Raw genomic sequence first — 17,776 nt, forward strand, 5'->3', positions numbered from 1 at the left:
GGCATATCTGTGAAGTCCATGCAGGGTGTGGGGTCAGTGGGGTGAGTCAAGCAGATTGCATTTAGCTCTACCATAGGGAGGTGGACAGCAAGAGGCCGATAAGACATCTGGATCAAGCACACTGAGGAACTGGGAAGAGACAGAGAACTGAAAACTGTCAAGGATGAGGAAGTCTTGCTTCTGGTATGAGAAAGCCCAGCTTATACTCAAAATGGGTGTCAAGGCAACACGAAATTATAAGAATGTGCTATAACCTCACACAAACTAGTCACAACAACTCAGCTGAATGCAAACGATGACCTTAGAACACATTTAAGTTGAGCAATATAGCCTAGCCAAAATATTGGATGGCTTGGTTCTTTAGCCCCTTTGAAGCATTCTTTGGGCAACAACTCTGGTAATGGTGGAGTTAGTTGATGGCTTCAGCATCAGCGTCACAGTCGTTCTGTGAGATGAGGCTCCTGGAAGTGAGTTTAACAGTCTCTTAAAGCCCTGCATTTGGCTCCACCTCTTGCACCCATAGCCCCTTTGAAACCCGTTGCCCACAAGTGCTGTGGGCTGTTCAGTCCCACTGGATGCAGATACAGGTAAAGGATCAATCTTCATCTCTGTGCCATTCCCCACAAGCTGGCAATGCTTTTCAGAAATCTCACTTGCCTCACAAACTGCTGAGGGAAATATCTCATTGCATTGGAATTATTTACTTCTGTGTATGCTCTGTAGCATTTTCAAGAATATGCTCATTTTCATTAGGCTTGAACGACGTTCTGCCAAGGTCGTACCTTCTCAGAATCTTTTGCCCTTAAATATTTAATACAGCAGGTACTTCAGGAATGAGCATCTATCAAGATCATTTGGTATGAAAAATCATTCAATGCATGGTGCCTTCGTTTAATAAGTTACAGAAATAGAAGGAAAAGTTATGGTACGAGGGCGTAGATTACAAGGATGTCTGCTTTTAAAGAGAAAATGAAATGTCCTAAGTCAACACACTGGGCTTCTCAGTTTCTTCTATCTTTTACAATAGCTTCATCAGGCATGAGTAGCAGAACTGACCAGCAGATCAGCGGGGGCAGTGCAAAGCAACAGTAAAGTAGTACAAGGCAAGTTAAGATAATTGTTGCAAATCTGCAAAGAATCTTCATTCCCCAGAGAGTTGAAAGTCTAATTGCCAAAGAAAGGAATGCAGCTGTCATCTTGAAATGGAAGAAATACCCCTCAACTATTAATATGTTGGCTGGCAGTGTGTTCTGCAGAAGCTAGGGAGTCTCTTCTGAATATAGGGCTTGTTGCAAAAACTGATATTTAATTAATGTCACATCTCTAGATACTAAATTCTTACAGTATAGAACCCAATTTCTGGAAATGGCCTACACTATTTGGCAGCCACAAATCCAATAATAAGGCTGCCCTCAGAGCCCTGCCCATCTGGTTGGATTTTTTTCTCTATTTCTGCCTCCTAATTAGGAGATTAAAGCTATTTTCCTCTTGATTTATATATGTCTTTCTTTTTGACTTTTGAACAATATCATTTCTCTTGGTTTATTTTTCTTATTCTCTTAAGTGTTTTTACCAATCAATAAAGTGTTTAAATTTGTTCCTTTTTTTCTGTTTGCTTCTTCCATTTTATTTTTTTTGTAACTATGTTACTTCAATTTTAAATATGAATGTGCTGCTGCTTTCAAACATCCTCTTTTGAAAGAAATGATAGGATTTTATAGATTTTCTTAGCAAGTGAGAAATCAATTTAGCAACATGTTGCAAACAAATTTTACCCTTGATTAGACTGAAGTTTTTGGTCATGTATATAGCTTCTAATTTTTTTTCAACTTTTATTATTATGATCCATTTTCTGATTCATTAATTCCTACTCTTTATCCTTTTTCATCCTTCTGTTTACCTTAAGTTTAATTTGTTCCAGTTGCTTAATGTGAAAGCTTAGTGCATTCATTTTAAACCTTTCTTCTCTTCTAACATAAGCATTTAATGTTATAAATTTCTCACCAAACACTGTTTTGGCAGCATAACGTAACTTTTTTTTTTTTTTTTTTTTTGAGATACGGACTTGCTCTATCACCTACGCTGGAGTGCAGTGGTGCGATCACGGCTCACTGCAGCCATGATTTCCCAGGTGTAACTGATCATCCTACCGCCATCTCCCAAGTAGCTGGGACAACAGGCTTCCGCCACCACGCGGAGTTTCACTATGTTGCCCAGGCTTGTCTCGAACTCCTGGGCTCAAGTGATCCACCCACCTCGGCCTCCAAAAGTGCTGGGATTACAGGTGTAAGTGACCACACCAGGCCCAATATGTTGTATTTTAAATTTGTATTCACATAAGTGTATTTTCTTCTTATTACCATGTGCTATTTAGAAGTACGTTGCTTAATTCAAATATTTGAGGATTTTCCATGTATCTTGAAAATTATTGATACCTCGTTTCTGTGGAGAAGGAAAGATTTCTTATCCACTGCTAGGTTCATAGCTGAGACCCCTATAACAGAAGACATTAAGAGCCAGGTGTGTTGGCAAGGCAGAGGATCCCTTGAGCCCAGAAGTTTGAATCCAGCCTGGGCTATATAGTGAGACCCTGTCTCTACAAAAAATAAAAAAATTAGCCATGCATGGTGGTGCATGCCTATAGTCCCAGCTACTCAGGAGGCTGAGGTGGGAGGATTGCTTGAGCCCAAGAGGTCAAGGCTGCAGTGAGCCATGATTGTGCCACTGCAGTCCAGCCTGGGTGACAGAGGGAGACCCCCATCTCCAAAAAATAAAATAAAATAAAAGACATTAATGAGAAAAGCATACACATTTATTCAATATAAATGTTGTGTGACATGAGTACATTCATTACGGAAACAAGGAAACAGGGAAACCCGTATATATTCATGCTTAGGTTTGATGAAAAGTGAACAGTTTTGGGAAAATATGATTGGAGGACAAAAGGAGTATGAACTAATGTTAATAAACTGGGAGAACTTAGCAAGAGAGGGCCCTTGTAATGAGAGTCTTATGACCTGCCTCAGAGGAGAAGAGTGATGGGAAGAGAAGGCTTCCTGCTTCTGCTGTTTTCTCAAATGTCGAGGTACCATATTTTGGGCTAACATGTCTTGAACCCCATAATTTCCTTCCGTTACGGCCGGGAACATCTTTTTTAAAATTTAAATTCCTACAAATTTATTGATATATGTTTAAGTCCAAAATTTGATGTAACTTCTTGAATGTTCCATTTATGCTGAAAAAAATGCGAATTGTTATTTTTTGCATGGAGTGTTCTATATATGTCATTTAGTTCAAGTTGTTTGATAGTATTGATACAGTTTGTTCGCTGCTGTATCCCAAGCACCTAGAACTGTAGGTTCTTTGCAAATATTTGTTGTGTGAATGAATGATCTATATTATGGTGACGATTTTCATTTTCACCCTCACCGAGAATTCTAAAGATTAGGCTGGCTGAGGAATAATTCGAATGTAATTAGTGTATCTACACTAGCACCCAAGCAATTGCATATGAGTATTAAGCTGAAAGGCCATGTAGTTTGCATTTCTAGGTCTATCACTGCAGCGTTTACTGTATTTCTGATTATTTAAACTTCAAGAGATAGCTGCCTTTCAATACTGTTCCAAAAGAAAACATACCAGAGAAAAAGCCCTCAAATCTGTATATGGCAAGTCAGTACAAATTTGATTTCATGGTAAACAGCTGAGGATGGGTAGGGACTGAGACCAGAAAAAAAAAAAAAAAAAAAAAGAGAGATGGCACTGATTTTTTTTTTTTTTTTTTTTTTTACTTTAAGTTTCGGGATACATGTGCAGAACGGGCAAGTTTGTTACATAGGTATACACGTGCCATGGTGGTTTGCTGCACCTATCAACCCGTCATCTAGGTTTTAAGCCCTGCATGCATTAGGTATTTGTCCTAATGCTATCCCTCCCTTTGCCCTCCACCCACTGACAGGCCCTGTTGTGTAATGTTCTTCTCCCTGTGTCCATGTGTTTTCATTGTTCAACTCCCACTTATAAGTGAGAACATGCGGTGTTTGGTTTTCTGTTCCTGTGTTAGTTTGCTGAGAATGATGGTTTCCAGCTTCATCCATGTCCCTGCAAAGAACAGGATCTCATTCTTTTTTATGGTTGCATGGCCCTGAAATTTTTATATCATAAGTACATTCTTGAATGATTGCAAATTTCTTATTGCACTCTTTCTTTACAAAGCTTTTGTTTCTTTGCATAACTCTGCAAAAGAGCTGTCAGCCATGTTTGTGGCCCAGGAATAAAAATGGTAGTTCTTGCAGTAGAGATTATCAGTCTTTTTAGAGTAACCTCACCATCCCCCCACAAACTTATATTTCGTGTTTATTTCTTTTTAAAATTCAGGCAAATCAATATTAATTTTATTCTGAGATTTTTACAATACCCTTGAAATTACTATAAATATATTAGCTTGGTAGAGAAACCAGGATCTCTGGATTGGGATTGTGACTAATTTAGAATTTTAAAACGTATTAACTAGAGTTATAATTTGTGCAGTCTTCAAATGTGGCAGGAGGGTTACATTTTTCTTTTTTCTTTTCTTTTTTTTTTTTTTGAGACGGAATCTCGCTCATTCTTATTGCCCAGGCTGGAGTGCAGTGGCGCGATCTCAGCTCACTGCAACCTCCACCTCCCAGGTTCAAGTGATTCTCCTGCCTCAACCTCCCGAATAGCTGGGATTACAGGCACGTGCCACCACGCCTGGCTAATTTTTGTATTTTGGGCAGAGACGGGATTTCACCTTGTTGGTCGGACTGGTCTCAAATTCCTGACCTCAGATGATCCACCCACCTCGGCCTCCCAAAGTGCTGGGATTACAGGTGTGAGCCACTGCACCTGGCCAGGGTTATATTTTTCTTAATTGGTGCATCCAAATTAATCCATGTCAAGTTTGCACACTATTGATGTCCAGCTCTGCTGTCATTTCAATTCTCTAAGAGACCTTTTTCTTCTTTATCTTTCTTAACTTCCTCCAAGAAAACCTTGCTAGAAATCAAGTCTGGCCAGTTTTGCTAGTTCTTGCCTTAAGTATGAGTGCTATCTTTAAAATCATAGAGTCCTGTGTGTGTGCTAGTCTGAGATGTTTTTAATTAGGCCAAAACATGTCTTAGCCTGAGAAAGTATCTGCATAATTCTAGATTTTAATATATAAGACAGCTAGCCAAGAGAATATTATATGTGGATTGTTGTTGTTGTTGTTAAACCTATTGAAACTAACTTAACTTGATTCTCTATAAAAATCTTTCCTCTACCTCCTGAAATATTTTAATTAGATACTGCTCTGAGTATGCCAACAATCACTTGACATTCTGTTGTTTTTAGCTCGTGGTTACCTACATTTCTCTCCTATTTCTTCTCCTGTTACTCCCACCACTTACTACAACCCCAAAGAGCTTCTTTGTGCCTTGTTTTATGTAATCAGGAAGAATGATTCTGCTCTGGTATGAAGGAGAATCATTCCAAATCTAACAAGAACCGTTCAGTTTTGAGAACCTGAGAAGGAGACCATTAGTCATAGTTTTGAGGACCATCAGTGCCAGACAGAGACCTCTTGTAGGAGCCCTTGCTGGAAGAAGTGAGGGCTTGTGTGAGGACTCAGGCAAGGGGGCGCCCAGGCTGCCCCTCCCTTGGCCAGATGTCCCCGCACCGTGCCACTGAGCTAGAAAGCCAGCACAGACTCTCTGTCTTCCTTAAGATGCCAAGAGGAGGAAACACACACTTTTCCTGAAGCAAAAAAAAAAAAAAAGGGTTATAGGCCGGGTGCAGTAGCTCACGCCTGTAATCCCAGCACTCTGGGAGGCCGAGGCAGGCAGATCACCTGAGGTCAGAAATTTGAGACCAGCCTGGCCAACATGGTAAAACCTTGTCTCTACTAAAAATACAAAAATTAGCTGAGTGTGCGGTGGGAGCCTGTAATCCCAGCCTACTTGGGAGGCTAAGGCAGGAGAATCACTTGAGCCTGGGAGGCGGAGGTTGCAGTGAGACGAGATCGTGCCATTGCACTCCAGCCTGGGCAACAAGAGCGAGACTCCATCTCAAAAAACAAAAACAAAACAAAAAAAAAAACACGGGGTTATAAATCATGGTGCAAGTCTATAGTACTATGGCTATAGTACTATGGGTTCTCTATAACTCTTATACTTAGGTATTATGTTGGGTTGTCCTGGGAGGACACTTCAGTGCCAGCCTCTTTTTTTTTTTTTTTTTTTGAGACGGAGTCTCGTTCTGTCTCCCAGGCTGGAGTGCAATGGCGTGATCTCAGCTCACTGCAACATCCGCCTCCCGGGTTCAAGTGATTCTCCTGTCTCAGCCTCCCGAGTAGCTGGGATTACCCACCACACCCGGGTAATTTTTATATTTTGGGTAGAAACCAGGTTTCACCATGTTGGCCAGGCTGGTCTTGAACCCCTGACCTCGAGTGATCTGCCTGCCTCAGCCTCCCAAAGTATCGGGATTACAGGTGTGAGCCACTGCGCCTGACCTGCCAGCCTTCTTTTGAAAACCTTTAACTCAGCCAGGCATTGTGGTTCATACCTGTAATCCCTGTGCTCAAGCACTTTGGGAGGCTGAGGCGGGAGTATCACTTGAGCCCAGGAGTTCAAGACCAGCCTAAGCAACATAGTGAAACCTCATTTCTTAAAAAAAATTAAAACCTGTCACTGGTTTCTGAGTGTACTTTTATTTTGAGGATGTCCAGGGCCACTGGCCAGCTCTACCTGTGTGAAGTAGAAAAAGCCACCCTTCCCCATAGGCAGGAGAATACAGACTCATGCCAGGGTACTTGGCTTGTCTGGCGTGCTTACGTAGTAATAGCCAGTGCAAATATGCATGTGGCTGCCTGGTGGCTATATCTGTGAGTGTGGTCGCAGGGTCACTCTAGTTTAGTAAATAGTTTGTCCTTGATGTCTCTTGATATTACTTCCAGAGAATGATAGCCAGGGAGTACAAGGAAGTTACAGGGCAGATAAGGCTGGTGATTATCACAAGCTCTTCAGAGAAAGGCCATAACGTGTGGAGAAAAACCACGGCCGCTCTTATCTTTGGTGTGTCTCGGCTTAAATTTCCCTTCCTCACAGAGATCTTGTTTTGTCAACCCACCTAGAGAGGAATCCTGGTTTTGTTTGTTTGTTTGTTTGTTTGTTTTTTGAGACGGAATCTCTTTCGCCTAGGCCGGAGTGCAGTGGCGCTATCTCGGCTCACTGCAACCTCCGCCTCCTGGGTTCATGCCATTCTCCTGCCTCAGCCTCCCGAGTAGCTGGGACTACAGGTGCCCGCCACCATGCCCGGCTAATTTTTTGTATTTTTAGTAGAGACGGGGTTTCACCGTGTTAGCCAGGATGGTCTCGATCTCCTGACCTCGTGATCCGCCCGCCTTGGACTCCCAAAGTGCTGGGATTACAGGCGTGAGCCACCGCGCCCAGCTGGTTTTTTTTCTTCTTACAAGTGACACTTATTTGTATTTGTGTGGTTATCTTATTTATTAACTATCTTTTCAAATATTTCTGTGAGGTGTTCGCCAATATATCCCTAACCCATAGCTGACTACTTGACACAGAGTTGGCACTTATTAGACATTTGTCAAATGAAGAAATGTCTTTAGCAGCGTCTGGCCATGGCAAGGCAGGGGAGTATGAAGGGAATCTAAAATAACAAGAGGACAGAGGGCGTGTGACAGCCCTTGTTCAGAGGGATAGAGTCTGTTTGATTTCCCGTGCCACAGGCTTTCTTCAATCCTGTCACCTTTTTCCAGATAGGAGTTGCTGAGCAGTTGATGTTTCATTGCTTGTTTTTAACTACCATCCACTGAGAATGTCAGGCACTGTGCTAAGGACTTCATTTACATACATTAAGTCATCCAACCTGCACAACAAGTACTCAATGAAGTATGTTTAATTATTATCCTATTTTACAAATAAAGAAACAGTCTTGGAGGGTATGGGAGGGGAGGTGTTTGTGTGTGTGGTTATGTAACTAACACAATAAATGTCAATGCCAAGACTCAAACCCAGATCTATCTGACCCCAAATTATGCACTCTTTTATTGCTTCAGGTCTTGTTTACTTTGTAAAATATGTGCTTTGGTTTCAGACCCTGAATTAATGCATTCTTAAACATTATATTGCCTTCACTTTGAACAAAGTGATATGAGGCAAGAGATTCATAATGCAAATGCCTAAGATCAACTTGTTTACCCGGCGTCTAACGGCCCATCTACATTTGGTCTTTCTGGACTGTGACCTAATCTAGTAAATCTTGGCCTCCATATTCATTTCCTTATTTTGCTCTCTTCATTGGTGCTTGCTTCCCATATTTCAGGCAAAGAGCCACTGCATAGTGACTACAGCCCCCGGACAGATGTAGGCTGTTTCTTACCCTAAGCAAGGCACAGGGGGTCTGGTTATATAGTTCAACAGGGAACAATGCTTAGTCTTCCAAGTTGAGAAGTTTCTCTCTTTTTTTTTTTCACCTTAGAATTTAACTGGCCAGGTGTGGTGGCTAACACCTGTAATTCCAGCACTTTGAGAGGCTGAGACGGGTGGATTGCTTGAGGTCAGGAGGTCTAGACCAGCCTGGACAACGTGACAAAACCCTGTCTCTACAAAAAATATAAAAATTAGCTGAGCGTGGTGGCACCTGTAGTCCCAGCTACTAGGGAGTCTGAGGTAGGAGGATCGCCTGAGCCTGGGGAGGTTAAGGCTGCAGTGAACCATGACTGTGCTACTGCACTCTACCCTGAGTCACAGAGTGAGACCCTGTCTCAAAATATATATGCAATATATATATATACACACACACGTATATTTATACATATATATATATATTCTGCAATGAACATGGGAATGCAGATACTTCTTTTACATACTGATTCCATTTTCTTTGAATATGCACCCAGTAGTGGGATTGCTGAATCATACGGTAATTCTAGTTTCAGTGTAGAGGAACCTCTATACTGTTTTCCATCGTGGCTGTGTTCATTTACATTTCCACTATCAGCGCACTAGGGTTCCTTTTTCACCACACCCTTGCCGACAGTTATTATCTTTCATCTTTTTGATAATAGTAATTCTAAAAGGTGTGAGATGGTATATTATTGTGGTTTTAATTTGCATTTCCCTGAGGATTAATGATGCTGAGTATTTTTATATGTATCTGTTGGCCATCTGCTTGTTTTCTTTTGAGAAATGTATTTAGGTCCTTTTGCCGGTTTTTTGATGAGGTTAATTGTTTTCTTGCTATTGAGTTGTTTGAGTTAGGAGGTGGTATTTGATATCATTTCAATTAAGAATCCCTCCAGACCATACCTTCCTTGAAGATGCCGCATATGGTTGTATCAGGATTCACCGGTTTCTCTTTTGGGCATTACTTCTCTCCCACCCACCCTCTCATCCCACTTTCCTTGCCCAAAGAAGAAAGAAATGGGAAGAAAAATGCTTTTCTTTGTCTTCAAATGCAAAAGGTATTTTTTGTCCTAGGGCCAATAAGGTCAACAAAGTAAGCATGAAATATTATACTCAGGGTAGGAGCATAATGCATGCTATGAGAAAGGATACAAACCCTGCAAGATTTCAAAGGGATCTTTCACAGGGAGAAAAAGAAAAAAGTTGAGGTTGGTTGGGTGGGGATATGATTTAAAGAAGAGGAAAAGCCAGACTCTGTATTGTGTGTGTTGCCAGTTTGCTATAGTCATGGTATTGTAAAACAAATCAGTCCAAAAGACCTTGTTTTATTTATGTAATCAAGTAATCACAGTGTCTCTGAAACTTTTAGATGCAAGCACAGAAATAGAAGTATTTATGAAGTCAGACTTGCAATTGCCAGGAAGTAGTAAAGAATGCCAATGTAATTTCTGCTACCTGTGTAAGTCCTAAGGGAAATATGAGCTCATGAATACATATATAGAGATCATTACAAGGCTGAATTAAAATACATTAAATAGAAAAGTGGGCATAATCCCCTGAGGATATTCAACATAAAAGGAATAGCTGAAGAACAACCTGAAGCTTTAAAAATAGGGGAATCTAAGATCCTCACTGGCTGGAGAAAACAGTTACTACACACCCTTCCAGGAAAACACTTTATATAAAGTTTGGTGTTTGAAAGCCTTAGCTGATCTAAATGAATGCAAATTTAAGAGGAGGGGCTTGCTTTATCCTTCTATTTGTGGTCTCCACAGCCCCTGGACCTGAGAGGCTTCAATAATTGTTACCTGAGTTGGATTGAATTGAAATAAAGAAGTAAAGATCCTATATCATCTACTGAAATCTTTAAAGGGTAAGTTTCTTTCTTTTTTTTTTTTTTTAACCATTTGTTAAATGGTATAGTATATACTATTGGTTAAACAGTTGGACATTTCTTTTAGTAGTTGATTTTTGGGTAACAATGTCTTCAGTCATCCTGGAGTCATTCTGAGAGTGACAGACATGCCCTCCATCCACACACCAGAAGTGTCATATTTAGGGAGTGTGCCATTCAGTAAATCTTTGGTGTGTTACTAAATGGACATCAACAGGGGACTCAATGGGGACCAAAAGTAAATTTTAAAGACCTTAAAACAGAATGAAGTGGCTACCAATTAAAAGGAAGAAATATGTAGATTCATACAAAGGAATAGAAAAAAAAAATGCGACTTAAAACTGAGAGAATGCTGAGACAATGACAAGCATTAAAAATGGAGAAGCAGGAACAAGAAGGAAATTTATGTGCCCAAACAGATTGGTTTAAGAAGTATAATGTGGACCAAAGGCTGTATGCAAAAGTAACTCAAAATGATTGAAAAGAGATGCCCCCTCCCCAAATTTAGTCAACATAAGACATTCCTTTTGATAGAAAATGACCACTCTAAAAAATGTTGAAAGGAGAATCACAAAAGTAAACAATAAGAGGAAACATTTTTGAATAATGGAGGAAAAAAATTACAGTGCATAGGTACACATTATTAACATTTCAGGAATGTCTGTTTACTGCAATAACGTATCATGAAGAAAGTAATGAAGACAAGGTCTTGAAAGGAAGAAACACTGGGTGTTGTTTTTCTTTTTCTTATCATCTCAAAACTGGACTTAACCAAATATATTGGGATGGAGATTAACTACTTATGAGTAGATTTAGAATCACAACCAAACTCATCCTTAGATAATTCTGAAGCACGAATACAACCACCACAAACTTGAAAACCTGGATAATTCTACCAGAAAGCCAAATAAGCATTCATTATTGAAAGAAGCCATTTTTATTCTATGAAGTAATTTAAAATTCTGAGTTACTTACCTTCAGGCAAGCTCAGAATTTTAATAGTAAGAAGAAAATAACAAAGCACACCACCTTGGAAATCTGCGTGTCTTTAACTACAAAGAATCATTGACAACACAGAAACGAAAGGCCTAGGTACAGTTCTCTGAGTGAGAAATTATGATTGAATTTAAAAGTAAATAAGCTAGTTCAGACTATAATTTTCATGAAAAAATAAGGCATTAAGAATTTAAATCTTTTTCAGAACTTTTATTCCACACAAAGAAAGTAAAATGGGGGAGAAGCGCAGTAAATAAAGTTTTCAGTCAGCTTTTGGATTTTTTGGTGTAAAGAACTGGTTATGAGGGTATAAATTTACTAACAGTTAGATTTTAGTCTGCTCATTTAGGTTTCATCTTGTATAAGCAGAACATCTTGTATTTGCATGTTTTTGTTTTTTGAAGTGATTTTGTATTTAGGATCAGTTATGCCATGAAAGGCTTTATTCTTCCTTTCTTGTTAATTGTGGAATAACAAACATTAACCAATTTGCTTTTAGGCTAAAGACAGGCAAATGCAATTCAGTACCCAGCTTTAAAAATTCTTTTGGTTATGTTATCATTTGGCGTTCTAACCATCCTTTGCACTGACTTCACTTTTTACTGCATCGTCTTAAATGTGTAAATTTTATTTTTTTGCATGTTTGAATCCATAAGGACAATGATGTAGATGCTTATACATGCTTTGAGAAAATTTATGTATTGTGTGTATGTTTGTAATTTATTTTAAAAATCAACATCTATCCCATGAGCACCTATTTGGAAGTATGCATCTAATACATCAAGGCACACTCTATGTTACGCCAAAAGAAGAGTAATCAACCTTTGCCCTCAAGGAGGTTACCATCTATTTTAGCTGATTTAATATATCATGTATGTTCTGTCATAGGATAAAAGAACAATTTAGCTTTGTGTGTGTTGAGTAAGAATCTTGTCTGAGCAACAGTAAGATAAAATGGTTTTGGAGTTAGGTGAATCTGAGCTTGAAACCTAGCTGTGCACACTTAGTACCTTTGTTCCTTTATTTTTTATTTTATTTTTCAAGATAGGATCTCACACTGTCACCCAGGCTGGAGTGCAGTGGTGTGATCTTGGCTCACTGCAGCCCCAGTCTCCCGGGCTCAAGTGGTCCTCTCACCTCAGCCTCTCCAGTGGCTGTCATTACAGGTGTGTGCCACCACATCTGGCTAAGTTTTTGTGGTTTTTGTAGAGATGCATTTTTTGCCATGTTGCAGGCTGGTCTAGAATTCTTGGGCTCAAGTGATCCATTCACCTCAGCCTCCCAAAGTTCTGGGCTTACAGGCGTGAGCCATCATACATATATGGCCAGCTTTTGTTCTTTGAAGTCTGAGATTTCAACTTATAAAATGAAGATACTAACTTTTAGCTTATAGAGGTGTCATGAGGGCTAAGTGCAGTAATGTATACAAAACACCTAATACATAGGCCCTAAGTTTTTAATTATCTTCCCTCATACATATTATTTAAATGAAATGTTCAGGTTTAGCATTGTCCATTATTGTCTCTATTCATTTTGGTCTAGGATTTCTAAATCAATTTCATAAATGCAGCCAGGCTATAATTGGCAGCACTTTTGAGTAGTGAATGAGACAGTGAGCTAGTGTTAAAATTTCAGACGGGAGGTAGGAATGCCAGATCATGAAGCTCAAGGCCCAAGCTGAAGCCTTCTAAACATTCATCACCAGCCACAGCCTCTACTGTCTGAAATAACCTCCCACGGCTGGGGAGTACCCAGAGGGAGAATAGGAGAAAAGCCTTCATCGTGTGCCTAAAAAGCCTGGAAAAAAGAAAAGTGGCTACGAAGGCAGGGATTTGTTTTGCAATAGCTTTTTAAAAAAGAAGAGCACATAAATGATATCAAAAGAGTTTCACTAGAAATAAACACTAGGGCTTCTCATCCTTCTACTCCTGATCTACCAGATCAAGCTGTTGGTTTTTCCCAGAAAGAACACAAAGGAAAGTCCAACCAAATGTACATCATTCATACCTGGATGGTACTTCTGCCCACAGTCTTCCCTCTTGTTGAGCAATATAGAAAGTAAGCTTGAGGCCAAACTTTAATTCTCTACTTGAAACCCAGATGATCGATTTCCTCTTTGTCCTCTCGGTCACTTAGCAGCCATCTCCCTCAAAAGAAAATCGGAGTACCCCCTACAACTTCTGAGGAGACACCAAACAATTCTAAAGTGTAACTGAAGTCCCCCAAACCTCCTAGTTTTGGGGGTGTTTTATCATTCTTTACTTTCCCTCCTATGCCTAATGAGAGAAGGAACTTTAAAAGAAAAACAAGTTGCTCATTCTTTCAACCCCTGGGGAAGGGGGTTATTTCTCTGTACTTTTTAAAGCGGGAATTCTCTTTCTTGAGAATTCCACTTTGTTGAACCTGTTGGCATTTTGGTGGCGGCTTTCTAACTTGGACTTTTTTCCCTCTATTGTGAATTTTTCTTTAATTTCATTATTGAAATTTTAAATTGTGGAACAACCTAGATACAGGAAAGTGTGCAAATCATATTATACCTCAATGAATGTTTATGCATTGATATACCTGTATACTTCACTCAACTCAAGATCTAGCACATTTTTAGCCCACAGAAGGCTCCTGGGGCCCTTTCCCAACCAATAACTCCTCCCTGGTAAACTCTGCTATTACCTTCATGTGAATGGAACCATAAACTATGTACTTTCATGTGTCAGTAATTTGTTATTTTGTTTCATAGTATTCCATGGCATGAATGTACCACAACATATCCTTCCCTGTTGATGAATCTTTTTATTGATGAATATTGCTATTACACGTGAAGATGCCTTGAACATCTCCACTGTGGATTCTTAATTTTTTCATGCCACTCCCTGTAGAAATTGTGATAAATAAAATTCTGCAGAGGGTTTACATGTTCCCAGCTAATCTTGCTCCACGTTGGTTTGGTTACTTTGGCACCAGAATTTAAAGGAAGATGAAAAATCTCTGTGCATGCCCCTGTAGTCCCAGCTACTCGGGAGGCTGAGGCAGGAGAATCGCTTGAACCCAGGAGGCGGAGGTTGCAGTGAGCTGAGATTGCGCCACTGCACTCCAGCCTGGGAGACAGAGCAAGACTGTGTCTCAAAACAAACAAGCAAACAAACTAACTCACTCCTCTGTAGCCCCAGATTTTAGAAAAGAGAGAGAAAGAGAGGGAAGGAGAAAAGGAGGGAGGGAGGATGGGAAAATGTGTAGGCATGTTAGTATAAAATTTTAAATTAATAATTCCCATTTTATGGAGATATCTGATCATCTTAATTTGCAATGGCTAAATAAGTAATGCTTACATGATTATAGACTTCTTTTCCTCACTTTTGGAAACACTTTATGCCCTCTGGAAATTCTTTTAAAAAACTTTGTTGTATCCCTTTAAAAAGTGATAAAATCATAGTGTCTAGTGCAAATTTTAGGGCAAAGTTCAGTAGGTAATTTGGTTGACTTTAAGTATTTTTCTGAAAGGCTTTTTTTGTTGTTGCTTTGTTTGTTGTTTAACTTGATGAAGACTCCAAACTGTTGAATGAATCTCAGGGAGGCTGAGAAACACAGTAAAATGTATCTTTAAGTATTCACTATGGTTTGTGCACTATGACAAGCCATCTCCATTGCTGACTCTTATGTTTTGATTCCTTATTTCATTTCCTTAAATGTCTCTGCTTTTGTTGTTACTTTATTTTGCTTCCTCAAATGCAGAGTAATTAGACATTCAAGTTTTTTGTTGAGCCCTAGAATCTATTACATTAATAAATTAACTAGTTACCTAGACATTATCCCTTTTCTTTTTTTTTCTTTGTTTCTTTTTCTAATTTTTTTGTAGAGGTGGGGTCTCAGGCCAGGCGCCATGGCTCATGCCTGTAATCCAAGCACTTTGGGAGGCCAAGGTGGGTGGATTGCCTGAGCTCTGGAGTTCAAGACCAGCCTGGACAACATGGTGAAACCCCCTCTCTACTAAAATACGAAAAATTAGCTGGAAGTGGTGGTGCACGCCGGTAGTGCCAGCTACCTGGGAGGCTGAGGCATGAGAATTGTTTGAACTCAGGCGGCGGAGGTTGCAGTGAGCCAAGATCGTGCCACTGCACTCCAGCCTGGGTGACAGAGCAAGACTCTGTCTTAAAAAAAAAAAAAAAAAGAGATGGGGTCTCACTGTGTTTCTCTGGCTGATCTTGAACACCTGGGCTCAAGCAATCTTCCTGCCTCGGCCTCCCAAAGTGCTGGGATTACAGGCATGAGCCACTGCCTAACCAACACTGTCCCTTTTCAATTTTTGTATATAGATCATCTAGGAAACTAGTTAAAATAATCTGTACATAGCAAGTTATTTGCCCAGTAGTTTATTTTTTTATTACAGAGATCTTAATTTCTTTCATTAAGATTAAGGATAGTCTTTTAAACTGTGTGTTCATTTTGGGAATGTCAGCTTATTTTTAATTGTGTTGTTTGTTTACTTATAGTAAAAATGCATATTCTTTATCACATCATTGTTCAATGTTTGATATCATAGTACAGTCATTTCCAATAAAGTTTATGCCAAATGAAGTTTGAGAAGCCTTATGATAAATCAAATTATTTCAAGCCACAGAACCTGTTAAAAGTAGCCACTTGGTAGTGCAAAATAAATTGAAAGTGATATGAAAATAGTGACAAATGGCTGTGCAAACATGGCAAGCCAAGTTCTGGACATTAGCCCTTCAACCAAAAAAAAGGTTAATCTAAGGAAAAAATACAAATGACTTTTCAATTTCTAGTTTTTAACATTCATATTAGAAGATTAAAATATAGTTCGAGTTTGTCTATGACTTTCCCTCTAGCATTTAGGGCTGGTAGAGTGGAGCTTCTAAGATGAGTGTTTTGCCCCATCACCCACGTGCTGGAAGCAGTTTTATTTCAAGATGGAATAGAAACTCTACAGGCCAAAGTTGAGAGGAAAAAGATAAATATTTGTGTTGATGAGTGGTGACCATAGAAATACTTCTATATAAGTATATGGCCGGGTGAGGTGGCTCATGCCTGTAATCCCAGCACTTTGGGAGGCTGAGGCGGGTGGATCATGAGGTCAAGAGATCAAGACCATCCTGGCCAACATGGTGAAACCTCGTCTCTAAAAATACATAAATTAGCTGGGCGTGGTGGCGCGCACTTGTAATCCCAGCTACTAGAGAGACTGAGGCAGGAGAATCGCTTGAACCTGGGAGGCAGAGGTTGCCGTGAGCCGAGATCACGCCACTGCACTCCACTCTGTCTGGTGACAGAGCGAGACTCCAACTCAAAAATAAAAGTAGAAATAAGTATATAAGGGCTTGGAATTTGTTACGTTGGTGGGAAAGACATTTTGGCTATTTTGAGTTTTCTTGACACACATTAGCAGCTCCATCTGGGAAGTCACATTTCTCTGTCTCAACTAAATTCCAAGGCCAACTTTCAGGCTTTCCTTAAAATGTGCTTTGTATTATACTGCCAGGAAATAGTCCTGGCTCTACAGCCCTCCCTCAGAAAGGTTGAAGTGATAAATTGTAAATTGAGATTCTCTTGGTGGGGGGAACCCTAGCTAGAGCTGGTTTTGAATTCCTGCAATAGTGTTTAACCTGTTCAAGGTTCTCATTCAACTTTACAACTGGCTCAGTGTGAGGGAGAAGGAAAAACCTGTTGATACAGCTCCTTTAAGTGCTATGGGTTTCAAAACAACTCTCCAGATAGCAAGCATTCCTGTGGTGGGAGGCAGCGGATGAGTGGAAAACCTTTCCCATTCATTCAAAGAAGGGAAAGAGACTGAACTTACTCCCAACAGGTGAAGTTAAGCACGTCCTGTAAGTGAATTGATTTGTTGTATAAATCAAAGTTCTGTTCATAGGGACCATCAACAATGTTCTCTGACCTGGCACCCTTCTGTTCCCCCACCCCACCCTTCTATCCTCCTAGATAACTACTGGGAAAATATTTCTTTCTCGGAGATGCCTTTCTTCCTCCTTGATGATAGTAATCATTTTTCTCTTTTTAGCTCAAAAGGAGAATTTTTTTTCCTTTGTCATGTCTGTGTGCCTTGCCTATCTAATACAGTACATTGTTTCTCATTTCCTTTGTTACTATGCTTGTGCATGTCTCAAAAACAAATGTGAACTTTTTGTCCAAACAAAGTAAGTGCATGCTTTATAAAATTACAAAGGAATGGTACAGCTGTTCTCTGATTATATTCTTAGAGTGTTTAAAATTTTGAAAGTGCTTAGGAGTTTCTTTTTAAAAATCTGTCAACAAACTTCTTACAGAAACCTATTTTGTGAAGTGTTTTATTTTTGCTCCTATGAATTGTATATAAAAATACCTAATGTGTTTTAGTAGTAATAATGCATAGTTTAATAAAGTGGAAGTTCAACAGATTAAAGCTTTTAGACTGTCTTTTTCATCTGCAATTAATCAATTACAT

The 17,776-nt window shown here is 39.6% G+C and overlaps 1 protein-coding gene across 1 annotated transcript in view, besides 1 other annotated feature; it reads left to right on the forward strand.

The window, feature by feature from the left end:
* Positions 16,847 to 17,708: an enhancer, noted in NCBI's record as "OCT4-NANOG-H3K27ac-H3K4me1 hESC enhancer chr2:196477499-196478360 (GRCh37/hg19 assembly coordinates)". NCBI's record gives its function as "activates a minimal SCP1, AML or CMV promoter by ChIP-STARR-seq in naive H9 embryonic stem cells {active_cell/tissue: H9 hESC(naive)}" and the evidence as "EXISTENCE:reporter gene assay evidence [ECO:0000049][PMID:30033119]".
* SLC39A10 (solute carrier family 39 member 10) overlaps positions 17,101 to 17,776 on the forward strand; it is a 124,672-nt gene continuing 123,996 nt past the window's right edge. Inside the window, exon 1 of the mRNA XM_011511504.3 lies at positions 17,101 to 17,162. The gene's annotated coding sequence lies outside the window, so the exon portion shown is untranslated. The remainder of the gene's footprint in view (positions 17,163 to 17,776) is intronic.

Source organism: Homo sapiens, chromosome 2 (assembly GCF_000001405.40).
Source record: "Homo sapiens chromosome 2, GRCh38.p14 Primary Assembly".
Classification (NCBI taxonomy): Eukaryota; Metazoa; Chordata; class Mammalia; order Primates; family Hominidae; genus Homo; species Homo sapiens.